This window comes from Homo sapiens, chromosome 5 (genome assembly GCF_000001405.40).
Source record: "Homo sapiens chromosome 5, GRCh38.p14 Primary Assembly".
Taxonomy (NCBI): Eukaryota; Metazoa; Chordata; class Mammalia; order Primates; family Hominidae; genus Homo; species Homo sapiens.
This window is the reverse complement of record NC_000005.10, coordinates 93,522,676-93,538,013: the sequence shown is the minus strand read 5'-3', so window position 1 is coordinate 93,538,013 and position 15,338 is coordinate 93,522,676. Positions and strand designations below refer to the sequence as shown.

General features: G+C 37.2%; 1 long non-coding RNA gene across 47 annotated transcripts in view; it reads left to right on the top strand.

The window, feature by feature from the left end:
• The window catches only part of NR2F1-AS1 (NR2F1 regulatory antisense RNA 1), a 176,234-nt gene that overhangs the window by 47,576 nt on the left and 113,320 nt on the right, over nt 1–15,338 (top strand). Inside the window, exon 7 of one of the 47 annotated variants that reach the window (NR_186198.1) lies at nt 2,771–2,829. The exons of the other annotated variants lie outside the window; for them this stretch is intronic. This is a non-coding gene — a long non-coding RNA (NR2F1 regulatory antisense RNA 1). The remainder of the gene's footprint in view (nt 1–2,770; nt 2,830–15,338) is intronic. 47 annotated transcript variants of the gene reach the window in all.

The window sequence follows — 15,338 nt, the reverse complement described above, 5'->3', positions numbered from 1 at the left end:
CACTCAGGCTGGACTATGTATATATGCCAATTCACCTACCATGCACATCTTTGAGATATGTGGGGAAACTGCAGTACCCAGAGAAAACCCACACAGACATGAGTAAAATGTGCAAATTCCAGACAGACAGTGGCGTAGCTGAGAATCAATTTTTTTTCTTATATGCCTTATAATGAAGGACATTGAATGAAATGTTATTGGAGTACCTGCTGTATATCCAGTAGTGGGATTGCTGGATCATATGGTAGTTCTATTTTAAGATTTTTAAAGAACCACCATACTCTTTTTTATAATGACTACTAATTTACAATCCTGTTAACAGTGTGTTTCTTTTCTTCCACATCCTTGCCAATACTAGTTTTCTTTTGTCTTTTTGAAAATAGTCATTCTAACTGAAGTGAGGTGGTATCTCATAGTGGTTTTGATATGCATTTCCCTACTGATTAGTGATATTGAGCATTTTTTCATATACCTATTGACCATTTGTATGTTGTCTTTTGAGAAATGTCTATTAAGGTCTTTTGCCCATTTTAAAATTGAGTTTTTTGTTGTTGTTAAGTTCCTTATATATTCTGGATATTAACCCCTTGTCAGAGGTACAATATGCAAATATTTTCTCCTATTCTGTAGGAGAATAGGAGAATATTTGTTTCTTCACTCTGTTAATTGTTTCCTTTGCTGTGTAAAAGCATCTTAGTTTGATGTAATCTCATTTGTGTATTTTTGCTTTTGTTGCCTATATGTTTAAGGTCTTATTTAAAAAATTCCTGTCCAGCCCAATGCCATAAGCATCTCCCCTATATTTTCTTCTAATAATTTCATGGTTTGGATTTTATAGTTAAGTCTAATCCATTTTGAGCTGATTTTTGTACATGATGAGTGTATTAGTCCATTTTCACACTGTTGATAAAGAAATACCTGAGACTGGGCAATTGATGAAATAAAGAGGTTTATTGGACTTACAGTTCCACATGGCTGCGGAGGCCTCACAATCATAGCGAAAGGCAAGGAGGAGCAAGTCATGTCTTACCTGGATGGCAGCAGGCAAAAAGAGAGCTTGTGCAGAGAAACTCCCATTTTTAAAACCATCAGATCTCATGAGACCCACTCACTATCTCGAGAACAGCACAGGAAAGACCCACTCCCATGATTCAATCATCTCCCACCAGGTCCCTTCCACAACACGTGGGAATTATGGGAGCTACAAGATGAGATTTGGGTGAGGACACAGAGCCAAACCATATCAATGAGAGGTAGATATCTATTCTCATTCTTCTACATATGGATATTCAGTTTTCTCATCATCATTTATTGAAGACATTGTCTTTTTTGTAATGTTTATTCTTTGTGCCTTTGTTGAAAATCAGTTGGCTGTAGGTACATAAATTTATTTCTTGGCTCTCTAATCTGTTTCATTGATTTATTTATCTATTTTTATGCCAGTACCATGCTGTTTTGGTTATTATAGCTTTGTAGTATATTTTGAAGTCAGATAGTGTGATGCTTCCAGCTTTGTTCTTTATGCTAAGGATTGCTTTTGCTATTTGGAGTTTTTGTGATTCTGTATGAATTTCAGGATTTTTTTTTCTATTTCCATGAAAAATGTCATTGGTATTTTGACAGGTATTGCATTAAACCTGCAGATCACTTTGGGTAGTATGACAGTTTTAACAATATTCTTCCAGTCTATGAACATGGGATATCTTTCCATTTATTTGTGTCCTCTTCAATTTCTTTCATCAGTGCTTTATAGTTTGCAGTGTAGGGATCTTTCACTTCCTTGGTTAAGGTTATTCCTAGGTATCTTACTTTTTGGTAGCTATTGGAAATGGAATTGTTTTCTATGTTTTTTTCACATAGTTCACTATTAGCATATAGAAATTATGCTGATTTTTGTATGTGGATTTTGTATCCTGCAACTTTACTGAATTCATTTATTCTAACAATTTTTTTGGTGGAGTCTTTAGGGTTTTCTATATATAAGATCATGTCATATGCAAACAGTTTTACTTCCTCCTTTCCAGTTTGCATGTCTTTTATTTCTTTCTCTTGTCTAATTGCTCTACTTAGAACTTTCAGTATTATGTTGAATAGAAGTGGTGAAAGTAGGCATCCTTGTCTTCTTCCTGATCTTTTGCATGATGTTAGCCATAGGTTTGTCATATGTGGCCTTTATTGTGTTTAAGTGTCTTGTATATTTAATATGTTGAGAGTTTTTATCATGGAGAGAAGTTGAATTTTGTCAAATGCTTTTCTGCATCTATTGAAAAGATTTTATAGTTTTTGTCTGTCTTTCTGTTAATGTGGTATATCACATTTACTGTTTTGCATCTCTACGATGAATCCCACCTGATCAGAATGAATGATCTTTTTAATGTGCTGTTGAATTTAGTTTGCTTGTGTCTTTTTGAGAATTTTTGCGTCTATGCTTATGAGGGATATTGGGCTATAGTTTTCTTTTTTTGTTGTGTTCTCAGTATCTTTTTATTTCTTGCTTCTTACAGACTTATTCTGTTGTATACATCAACATGTTAACACTGTTTTAAAGTTTCATGTTGTCATGTATATGCTGATTGTTTAAAATTTTTCCGTTTATTGTAGAAGGAAATCTCTAAGGACTTCTGTTTCTATTTTAATTTTCCCTTTTAAATTTTTTATATTTATTATTTTAAAATACTTAAATTTTTTCCTCAAATATTTATTTTCACATTGTTTTTTATTTTTTTCTTTTTACCTTCTCTAATACATTTTTTAACTTATTATTTTATAGTGGCTGTAGTTATGCCACAGACATGACCAAAGAGAGAGCTTTGTCACAGATGAGCAAAGGTACGACCTTTATTCCTTCCATTTTTTTTTTTTGTCTGAGTCTCTCATTCTGTTTAAGGATAGCTTTGTAAAATCTCTTGCTCTAGTAACTCATGAGTTAACTTTCCTTAACATACTTTCTGCTTTGCAGATATTGTATTTAGTCTTTTGGTAAATATGTTGCTTCCTAAAATTGCATACCATCTAATTCCTATAGATGCCTATTTTAAAATCTGTGTTTTTCTGAAACAGATAGTTTTTGGCTTTTGGACAAACAGTGACAATGGAGAACCAAGAGTTAGGAGCATCCCACATTGGAAATGATCTTCGATGTAATATGCCTAGCCTAATATTGCTAATAATGTAGGTGGTGGTGAACCTCTTTAAAAATGTTCATAGGAGGTGGACCAATAGAGGTTTTTAAATCAGATTTTTGGTATAGCTTTTACACCGGCTGGATCGTAATTTACTTGTTTCCTGGATGATCTACTTCTCTGCCTGGCAGGGTCATAGGATAATCCTTTGGGTATAGGCCTTCCGTATAGGCCTTCCTACCTCTTTTTTCTCATTATTTGAATTAAGAATGTATTTATGGACACTAAGTAAGGAAAATGAAAATCTTGCTACTAGGAATCATATGATTTTAAGTATGGAAAATGGGATTTATTTTCATTAAATTGTTTCATGATAATTTGTTTAATGTTAAATTAAGGATGCCTTTATTTTGTTATTTCTTATCTAATTCTTATTGGAGTTCTTCATTTGAATTGTTGTTGAGTGAATAATATTTCATCTTAGAAAAGATCTGAGTGTGAAATAAAAAGACTCATTATAGTAAGAAAAATATAAGGTATGGTATTAGAACACATGTATTGGCATCTTCACTTTATTATTTGCTAGCCAAGTAACCTTGGATAAGTCAAATCTTTCTTAGCTTTACTTTTTTCATCTGTAAAATAGGAATGATAGTATTACCTCACAGGGTAATCGTGAGACTCAAATGAGATAATTTTTGTGAGGGTGCTTTATGAAGCTGTATTTGATATTATAATTCTAAGTAATAACATGTTATTTTACTTGAATGCTTGTATACTTTGTTTTCTAAAGGCTATGTTATTTTGTTGTTGTTGTGACACTCGCTCGTTCCCCAGGCTGGAGTTCAGTGGCACAATGTCGGCTCACTACAGCTCCGCCTCCTGGGTTCAAGGGATTCTCGTGCCTCAGCCTCCCAAGTAGCTGGGATTTCAGACAGTTTCACTATGTTGGCCAGGCTGGACTTGAACTGGCCTCATGTGATCTGCCTGCCTCGGCCTCCCAAAGTGCTAGGACTACAGGTGTGAGCCACTGCGCCTGGCCTAGAGGCTATGTTTTGAGAGGCAGTAAAGTTAAACGACATTGCTTAAGGCCAAATTTTAAGCCTTTCTCTTACTAGAGATATATCCTAACCTCTTTAAGCCTTACCTTCCTCTTCTGTAAAATGAAAATGATAGTAATATCTATCTCATAGAGTGGTTTGAAGATTAAATCAGCTAATCGATGTAAAGTGCTTGCAGTAGTGCCCAGTACATTCAATAAATGTTACCTATCATCATCATCATTCTTAGATTAAAAAAGAGAACTCTTTTCCTAAATTAAAATCCATTATTTACCATTTATCTAGTGGCTGCCCTGCTGTGAAGTATCCAGGCAATTAATTTAATTTTCCTTAGTGGTGAATATATATGTAAATACAATGATACAGTTTTCTTGACTTAAGAAAACTCATTTGTGCTGTACTTATTTCAGAGAGTAGATATTCCTGATAAATTGTGTGCATACAGCATTTTTGTAAGTTTAATTATGTTTTGAGTGCGGCTAGGAAATTCAGAAAATAACTCGTGAAAATAAATCCATTGAATAATAAATGACCCTTTGAAATGTGATCACTCACTAATTTATTCATTCTTAAAATCAATTTTCCCAGTTTAAAAAAAAATCTGGCCACATTTGTACTCATTAATAATTTGTGAGAATTAATTATTTTAAAGGAATCACCAAAATGATCAAAGCATCAGCCTTGAGGGATTAGTTCAAACATGCTGGAGATAATGGATTTAATCAAGTAATTTTTTCAGGTAAAAGCCTAATGTAAGGTAACGTCTGACTAAGACAAACACTAGAGTTTTGAAAACACATGAATAACTAAAAGATCGTGTGATTTTTGTTGTGTACTGATAAATTTAGCAGGATCTAGGACAGTGTAATAGTTGAGATTAACTTGTAATATTCAGTTTAAAAATTTATGCTTTTTCTCTTTTCTGTGGAAGCCATGACTTATACCATTTGTGGTTCTAGTATGATTGCTTTCACATTTTCTGTATTAATAATTTGGTGACATGAACACATAAAAGTAATTAAATGATTGATGATGGCTGCATAATCCAATACTGATTTCAGCCAAAATGTTGCAGTTTTCACTTAACCACGAATCTGAGGCTCATGGTTTCTGTGACAACCCAAGGTCAGGTGACCTGGATATGTCCTGCCAAACCGTTCCTGTGGAATAAGTCAGCTGTTTGTAAACAGGTTGGCAAAGAATTCTCTCATAAGACTTCAAATTCGTAAACTATGAGGTAGCTGGGCCACAGGTCAAAGGTGAAAGGTAATAAGCCATTTTGGGCCTGTTCTTTTGTGAAGCCTTTGGCTGCCTTTCAGACCGAGGTCTTGGAAATAGTTCACACACAGGCCTTCTGCCAACAGACTACTGAGAGTTGGCTGAGGCAGGATTCTATTGCACAATCCCCTCCCTCTCTTTCTCTCTCTCTCTCTGTCTTGGTGTCTGAAAGTTATAAAAATGCAAGGAATTTTATAAAAACTAAGTGTACAAAAGAAGCAACAAAATAATATATATTTTAAGAAATTTAGAACTTTTTTTTTCCTAGGGACAGAAGTCCAAAATTTGAATTGTGATAAATTCTTGCAAAATTAGTTGCAAAGTATGTTTTATAAAACAGTAAGTATGTTAAAATAACGAAGAACATTAAAAATATTGGCAGAAAAACTTGGGACAATTGTAGGCTTTTTGAGGAGGCAATGTATCTCTGTTCCACCTAAGCCACCAGAGGTAGTCTTTAAACAGTCTAGTAAGATATTTTGATTAGTGAGCTTATCTATAAGTATATGTTATGATATTTAACTGTGTGTGTTGAAGAAAACACACACTTATGAAGAAAAAAGGTAGAGAGGTAGGCTTCCTTAAAATTTCTTGTCTTACTTTAGATTTATTGCTGCTGTTATTCTTGCTTAGAGTAGGAATTCATTCCAGGAATAGAAATAAATAAAGTGAATTTTAGGTTTACCTTCTCTGACATTAGAGCTTGGCTTGAAGAACTGTTTCAGTTCATTGGTTATTGTGTTAGTCTGCCTTACTAGTTTGTTTTCTCTTTCCTGTTTGTATGCTACTACGGAGTTATAACTTCGATCTTGGTCAGTTTTGATGTCTTTTCATTCCTGGATTGTAATACTTTGTTAATAAAGATGTGAGGCACTGGAAATTCTTAAAGTAGATGATAGAAAGTTGAGAGACAATGAAAAGATGGTAAAGGAACCATTCTCAAAAACAAAGTATGAGTCATTAGCCACTTTAACTGTAAATATACTTCTTTGAGATGGTATTGATCATTTACAAGGAAATCACCCAGTTCAACGGGAAAAGAAAAACATTTTATTAGGAAATTTAGTTTACTTCCTAGTGGAAACCAGACCATGCAGTTTGGATCATAACCAGTGAGACCTCGGCTTTCGTTATTTCATCTGTACTAATGAGGATACGCATAGGTGGGAAGGATGGGACTTTCCAATGTGCTTCATAAAGTCTGATTTCTTCCTTCGTTTTAGAACAGTCAAATACAATTTTTACTTGCAAACAGAATTTTCTGGGAATATCTTACTTCATAGGTGATCTTGTCTTTATCTACTTTCTTCAGTAAACTCTGGAAGAAAAAAACTTCCTGGAAGTTTGGGCAATCATTTGCCATTATTTTCCTTTCCTTGAATTTCTTGATATCATGAATACTGCTGTAGTATGGGACATTATGTATTTTGGTAAGCAGACTTCTCTTCTGTATTTGTTTTTTATTAAACAGAATGACAAGTTCCTTTTCCCTGATTTATTCACTTCCAGCCAGGATGTTGAAAAACAAAAAAATGGCAGCTCTTAAAATAATACATCTAAAAAGTTTGGGCAGATCTTCATTTGTTTTCCCCATGTAAAAGTTGTCAAAGACAAATTTGAAAAACATTTACTCCTTTTTTATTTTTTTTCAAAAAAAATTAAACTTAAGAAAAGTAACCTTAGACAAATCACTGAGTCTTTCTAAGCTGTTTTCTTATATAGTAAATGAAGGATATAACCCAGTCTTTAAAAGGTTTCTTCCAGCTCCAAACTATCATGGATTTGAGCAAATATTGTTTCTAGGACTGAAGAACTCTTTGTGCCTTGCTATCAAATTAGGCATGTCCGTCATTTTTCTCAGTGAATGAAATGTTAAAAAGCAAATCAAGACCTTGAGGTATGAAATATGCCACAAATCCATTTTAAGAGGGGGCAGTTAGCACTGTATTCCCTTGTTTATCTGTTTCTCTTTGCCACTCAACTACTAGTAAGGTTGTTACCATTGGTCCTTCTGCTGCTGCCTCCAATGAGAGGCAAAGACTAGGCTGATGGGGCTGGCAAGTGGGAACTCTCTAGGGCCTAAAGGAGAGGAACCAGATGTTCCTTGGTGGAACCAGAGATTCGTATTACTGGTACAGAAATCTCCACTTAAGAGCCATGGCTAGAATGAATATATAAAAGCCTTCAAATCGCCTGCAATCCCAGCACTTTGGGAGGCCAAGGCAGGCGGATCACGAGGTCAGGAGATCAAGAGACTCTCCTGGCTAAAATGGTGAAACCACATCTCTACTAAAAATACAAAAAATTATCCAGTTGTGGTGGCATGCACCTGTAGTCCCAGCTACTGTGGAGGCTGAGGCAGGAGAATTGCTTGAACCCAGGAGGTGGAGGTTGCGGTGAGTTGAGATTGCGCCACTGCACTCCAGCCTGGGCGATAGAGCAAGACTCCGTCTCAAAAAAAAAAAAAAAAAAAAAAAGCCTTCAAATTGTAGGTGGGAGGCAGGCCCTCTAATCTAAATTAGAAATAATGATATTAAAATCTGAGCTTGAGTCTGTCTTTTATGACTTCTGTGATTTATTTTTGGACAAACCATTCAACATGTTTGAGCCATAGTTTTTAATTTGTAAAATGGGATACAGAGCTGATGTAAGGGTACAATGAGTCAATTAATGTGAAAAAACTTTGGAAACTCTTAAGACTTATCACACAGGTTACCTCCTGTTTTTGCTAAGTGTAAAAAGTTGTGACTATTGTACAAAATAGTTACAGAAAATAGCGTTTCCTTTTTTTTCTGCAACCTAGCAATTTATTATTTATATTTTATATTAACTGACCTACATGTGAAAAACGTGGTTAGAGTTTTACTACAGTATCATAATGGGTTTGAATTGAGAACAAGGAAACCTGGATCCACAATATTTCCTTTATATGAATTAATTTATTTTATTAAAAATGAGGCACCATATGATTAAATAATTTACCTATGGTCACCTTGGCCTTGACTCCCCAGGAAAAGAGATGAAGAGAGTTGCAGGTACTTTCTAGTGAATAAAGTATTAAGGCAGCGGGAGGGGAAGAGAAGATTTTTAATTTTTTGGTCAAATTTCTGCTTCAATTAAGATGATTACCAAATTTTTCACTATGTCTGTAATCCAAGCGTTACTAAGACAGTGGTGGTTACTACTATATTTGAAACTTCTTGACTTCTTTATCTGTCTTCTGGCATATATGAGTTGACATTTGGCTCCTTTCAGTCTCAGTACAATTGCCAGTAATTTTGGTGAGCCCCATACCTTTAAAACAGAGCTGTTTCAGGAAATTTATTTCCTTCTTTTTTCTCCAGCAGTAATAACAGCAGCTTTACCAACTGTCATTTGCATTATGTGAGAAATAATCTTTAGCATCACTAATCAAGGCTTGTCAGCATAAGAAGTTTAAGAAGTCTACACATTCTATATATGAATGTATATTTTTCTTCTTCATTACTCACATTCTATTTTTTAAAACTATACTTTAAGTTCTGGGATATATGTGCAGAACGTGCAGGTTTGTTACATAGATATACATGTGCCATGGTGGTTTGCTGCACCCATCAACCCATCATCTACATTAGATATTTCTCCTAATCCTATCCCTCCCCTAGCCCCCCACCCCCGAGAAACCCTGCTGTATGATGTTCCCCTCCATGTGTCCATGTGTTCTCATTGTTCAATTCCCACTTATGAGTGAGAACATTCAGTGTTTGGTTTTCTGTTCCCGTGTTAGTTTGCTGAGAATGATGGTTTCCAGCTTCATCCATGTCCCTGCAAAGGACATGAACTCATCCTTTTTATGGCTGCATAGTATTCCATGGTGTATATGTGCCACATTTTCTTTATCCAGTCTATCGTTGATGAGCATTTGGGTTGGTTCCAAGTCTTTGCTATTGTGAATAGTGCTGCGATAAACATATGTGTGCATGTGTCTTTATAGTAGAATGATTTATAATCCTTTGGGTATATCCCCAGTAATGGGATGGCTGGGTCAAATGGTATTTCTAGTTCTAGATCCTTGAGGAATCACCACACTGTCTTCCACAATGGTTGAACTAATTTATACTCTACCAACAGTGTAATAGCATTCCTATTTCTTCACATCCTCTCCAGCATCTGTTGTTTGCTGACTTTTTAATGACTGCCATTCTAACTGGTGTGAGATGATAATTTCATTGTGGTTTTGATTTGTATTTCTCTTTTTTTAGTACATGTGCTGTCAAAGTGAGCACTGATTTGCTTTTCTCTAATGACCAGTGATGATGAGCTTTTTTTCATAGGTTGGTTGGCTGCATAAATGTCTTCTTTTGAGAAGTGTCTGTTCATATCGTTTGCCCACTTTTTAATGGGCTTGTTTGTTTTTTTCTTGTAAATTTGTTTAAGTTCTTTGTAGATTCTGGATATTAGCCCTTTGTCAGATGCAAAGATAGATTGCAAAAATTTTCTCCCATTCTGTAGGTTGCCTGTTAACTCTGATGATAGTTTCTTTTGCTGTGCAGAAGCTCTTCAGTTTAATTAGATCCTGTTTGTTAGTTTGGCTTTTGTTGCCATTGCTTTTGGTATTTTAGTCGTGAAGTCTTTGCCCATGCCTATATCCTGAGTGGTATTGCCTAGGTTTTCTTCTAGGGTTTTTATGGTTTTAGGTCTTACATTTAAGTCTTTAATCCATGTTGAGTTAATTTTTGTGTAAGGTGTAAGGAAGGGGTCCAGGTTCAGTTTTCTGCATATGGCTAGCCAGTTTTCCCAACACCATTTATTAAATAGGGAGTCCTTTCCCCATTGCTTGTTTTTGTCAGGTTTGTCAAAGATCAGATGGTTGTAGATGTGTGGCATTATTTTTGAGCCCTCTGTTCTGTTCCATTGGTCTATATCTCTGTTTTGGTACCAGTACCATGCTGTTTTGGTTACTGTAGCCTTGTAGTATAGTTTGAAGTCAGGTAGCATGATGCCTCCAGCTTTGTTCTTTTTGCTTAGGATTGTCTTGGCTATACAGGCTCTTTTTTGGTTCCATATGAAGTTTAAAGTAGTTTTTTTCTGATTCTGTGAGGAAAGTCAATGGTAGCTTGATGGGGATAGCATTAAATCTATAAACTACTTTTGGCATTATAGCCATTTTCATGACATTGATTCTTCCTATCCATGAGCATGGAATGTTTTTCCATTTGTTTCTGTCCTCTCTTATTTCCTTGAGCAGTGGTTTGTAGTTCTCCTTGAAGAGGTCCTTCACATTTCTTGTCAGTTGTATTCCTAGGTATTTTATTCTCTTAGTAGCAATTGTGAATGGGAGTTCACTCATGATTTGGCTCTGTCTGTCTATTATTGATGTGTAAGAATGCTTGTGATTTTTGCACATTGATTTTGTATCCTGAGACTTTGCTGAAGTTGCTTATCAGCTTAAGGGAATTTTGGGCTGAGATGATGAGGTTTTCTAAATATACAGTCATGTCATCTGCAAACAGAGACAATTTGACTTCCTCTCTTCCTGTTTGAATACCCTTTATTTCTTTCTCTTGCCTGATTGCCCTGGCCAGAACTTCCAGTACTGTGTTGAATGGGAGTGGTGAGAGAGGTCATCCTTTTCTTGTGCTGATTTTCCAAGGGAATGCTTCCAGCTTTTGCCCATTCAGTATGATATTGGCTGTGGGTTTGTTATAAATAGCTCTTATTATTTTGAGATACGTTCCATCAATACCTAGTTTATTGAAAGTTTTTAGCGTGAAGGGGTGTTAAATTTTATCGAAGGCCTTTTCAGCATCTGTTGAGATAATCATGTGGTTTTTGTCATCAGATCTGTTTATGTGATGTATTACGTTTATTGATTTGCATATGTTGAACCAGCCTTGCATCCCAGGGATGAAACCAACTTGATTGTGGTAGATAAGCTTTTTGATGTACTGCTGGATTCGGTTTGCTGGTATTTTATTGAGGATTTTTGCATCGATGTTCATCAGGGATGTTGGCCTGAAATTTTCCTTTTTGTGTTATGTCTCTGCCAGGTTTTGGTATCAGGATGACCCTGGTCTCATAAAATGAGTTAGAGAGGAGTCCCTCTTTTTCTGTTGTTTGGAATAGTCTCAGAAGGAATGGTACCAGATCCTCTTTGTACCTCTGCTAGAATTCGTCTGTGAATCTCTTTGGTCCTGCGCTTTTGTTGGTTGGTAGGCCGTTAATTACTGCCTCAATTTCAGAACTTGTTATTGTTCTATTCAAATATTCCACTTCTTCATATTGGGAGGGTGTATGTGTCGAGCAATTTACCCATTTCTTCTAGATTTTCTAGTTACTTGCATAGAGGTATTTATAGCATTCTGATGGTAGTCTGTATTTCTGTGGGATCAGTGGTGATATTGCCTTTATCATTTTTTATTGTGTTTATTTGATTCTTCTCTCTTTTCTCCTTTGTTAGTCTGGCTAGCAGTCTATCTATTTTGTTAATCATTTAAGAAATCCAGCTTTTGGATTCATTGATTTTTTGAAGGGTTTTTTTGTGTCTATCTCCTTCAGTTCTGCTCTGATCTTAGTTACTTCTTGTCTTCCTATAGCTTTTGAATTTTTTTGCTCTTGCTTCTCTAGTTCTTTTAATTGTGATGTTAAGTTGTTGATTTCAGACCTTTATTGCTTTCTCCTGTGGCCATTTACTGCTATAAATTTCCCTCTAAACACTGCTTTAGCTGTGTCCCAGAGTCTTTGGTATGTTATCTCTTTGTTCTCATTGGTTTCTAAGAACTTATTTATTTCTACCTTAATTTTGTTATTTACTCAGTAGTCATTCAGGAGCAGGTTGTTCAGTTTCCATGTAGTTGTGCAGTTTTGAGTGAGTTTCTTAATCCTGAGTTCTAATTAGATTGCACTATGGTCTGAGAGACCATTTGTTATGTTTTCTGTTCTTTTGCATTTGCTGAGGAATGTTGTTCTAATTATGTGGTCAATTTTAGAATAAATGCAATGTGGTGCTGAGAAGAAGGTATATTCCGTTGATTTGGGTTGGAGAGTTGTGTAGATGTCTATTAGGTCCACTTATCCAGAGCTGAGTTCAAGTCCTGAATATCTTGTTAATTTTCTGTCTTGTTGATCCGTCTAATATTGACAGTGGATTGTTAAAGTCCCCCGCTATTATTGTGTGGGAGTGTACATCTCTTTGTAGGTCTCTAAGAACTTGCTTTATGAATCTGGGTGCTCCTTTATTGGGTGCATATATATTTAGTATAGTTAGCTCTTCTTGTTGCATTGATCTCTTTTACCATTATGTAATGCCCTTCTTTGTCTTTTTTGATCTTTGTTGATTTAAAGTCTGTTTTATCAGAGACTAGGATTGTAACCCCTGCTTTTTTTTTGCTTTCCATTTGCTTGGTAAATATTCCTCCATCCCTCTATTTTGAGCCTGTGTGTGTCTTTTCACATGAGATGGGTCTCCTGAATACAGCACACCAATGGGTCTTGACTCTATCCAATTTACCAGTCTGTGTCTTTTAATTGGGGCATTTAGTCCATTTACATTTAAGGTTAACCTTGTTATTATATGTGAATTTGATCCTGTCGTTATGATGCTAGCTGGTTATTTTGCCTGTTAGTTCGTGCAATTTCTTCATAGTGTCAGTGGTCTTTACAATTTGGTATGTTTTTGCAGTGGCTGGTATTGGTTTTTCCTTACCATGTTTAGTGCTTCCTTCAGGAGCTCTTGTAAGGCCGGCCTGGTGGTGACAAAATCTCTCAGCATTTGCTTGTCTGTAAAGGATTTTATTTCTCCCTCGCTTATGAAGCTTAGTTTGGCTGGATGTGAAATTCTGGGTTGAAAATTCTTTTCTTTAAGAGTATTGCATATTGGACCCCACTCTCTTCTGGCTTGTAGGGTTTCTGCAGAGAGATCTGCTGTTTGTCTGATGGGCTTCCCTTTATAGGTGACCCGACCTTACTGTCTGGCTGCCCTTAACATTGTTTCTTTCATTTCAGCCTTGGTGAATCTGATGATTGTGTGTCTTGGGGTTGTTCTTCTCGAGGAATATCTTTGTGAGGTTCTCTGTATTTCCTGAATTTGAATGTTGGCCTGTCTTGCTAGGTTGGACAAGTTCTCCTGGATAATATCCTGAAACGTGTTTTCTAACTTGGTTCCATTCTGCTCATCACTTTCAGATACACCAATCAAACGCAGGTTTGGTCTATTCACATAGTCCCCTATTTCTTGGAGGCTTTGTTCATTCCTTTTCATTCTTTTTTCTCTAATCATGTCTTCATGCTTTCTTTCATTAAGTTGATCTTCAATCTCTGATATTCTTTCTTCTGCTTGATTGATTTGGCTTTTGATGCTTGTGTATGCTTCACGAAGGTCTCATGCTGTGTTTTTGAGCTCCATCAGATCATTTATGTTCTTCTCTAAACTGGTTATTCTAGTTAGCAATTCGTCTTACCTTTTTTCAAGGTTCTTAGCTTCCTTGCATTGGGTTAGAAGATGCTCCTTCAGCTCGGGGGAGTTTGTTATTACCCACCTTCTGAAGTCTACTTCTGTCAATTTTTCAAACTCATTCTCTGTCCAGTTTTGTTCCCTTCCTGGTGAGGAGTTGTGATCCTTTGGAGGAGAAGTGGCTTTCTGTTTTTTGGAATTTTCAGCCTTTTTGCACTGTCTTTTCCTTATTTTCATGGATTTATCTACCTTTGGTCTTGGATTTTGGTGACCTTCAGATGGAGTTTTTGTGTGGTTGTCCGTTTTGTTGATGTTCATGCTATTCCTTTCTGTTTGTTAATTTTCCTTCTAACAGTCAGGCTTCTCTGCTACAGGTCTGCTGGAGTTTGCTGGATGTCTATTCCAGATCCTGTTTGCTTGAGTATCACCAGCAGAGGCTGCAGAACAGCAAAGATTGCTGCCTGTTCTTTCCTCTGGAAGCTTCGTCCCAGAGGGGCACCTGCCAGATCCCAGCTGGAGCTCTTCTTTATGAGGTGTCTGTCCAACCCTGCTGCCCAATGGTGTCTCCCAGTCAGGAGGCATGGGGTTCAGGGACCCACTTGAGGAGGCAGTGTGTTTCTTAGCAGAGCTCAAGGGTTGTGCTGGGAGATCCGCTGCTCTCTTCAGAGCCGGCAGGCAGGAATGTTTAAGTCTGCTGAAGCTGCACCCACAGCTGCCACTTCCCCCAGGTCCTCTGTCTCAGGGAGATGTGAGTTTGATGTATAAGCCCCTGACTGGGACTGCTGCCTTTCTTTCAGAGATGCCCTGCCCAGAGAGGAGGAATCCAGAAGGGCAGTCTGGCTGCAGTGGCTTTGCTGTACTGCCTTGGGCTCCATCCAGTTGGAACTTCCCAGAGGCTTTGTTTACACTGTGAGGGGAAAACTGCCTACTCAATCCTCAGTAATGGCAGACACCCCTCCCCCCACCAAGCTCAAGCATCCCAGGTCGACTTCATACTGCTGTGCTGGCAGAGCAACAATTTCAAGTCAGTAGATCTTAGCTTGCTGGGCTCCATGGGAGTGGGATCCGCTATAGACCACTTGGCTGCCTGGCTTTAGCCCCCTTTCCAGGGGAGTGAACAGTTCTCTCTCACTGGTGTTCCAGGCACCACTGGGATATGAAAAAAAAAAAACCTCCTGCAGCTAGCTTGGTGTCTGCCCAAACGGCTGCCCAGGTTTGTGCTTGAAACCCAGGGCCCTGGTGGTGTTGGCAGCCAAAGGAATCTTCTGGTCTGCAGATTGCAAAGACCATGGGAAAAGCATAGTATCTGGGCCAGAATGCACCGTCCCTCATGTCAGTCTCTCATGGCTTCCCTTGGCTAGGGGAGGGAGTTCCCTGACCCCTTGCAGTTCCTGGGTGAGGCAATGCCTCACCCTGCTTTGGCTCACCGTCTGTGGGCTGCACCCA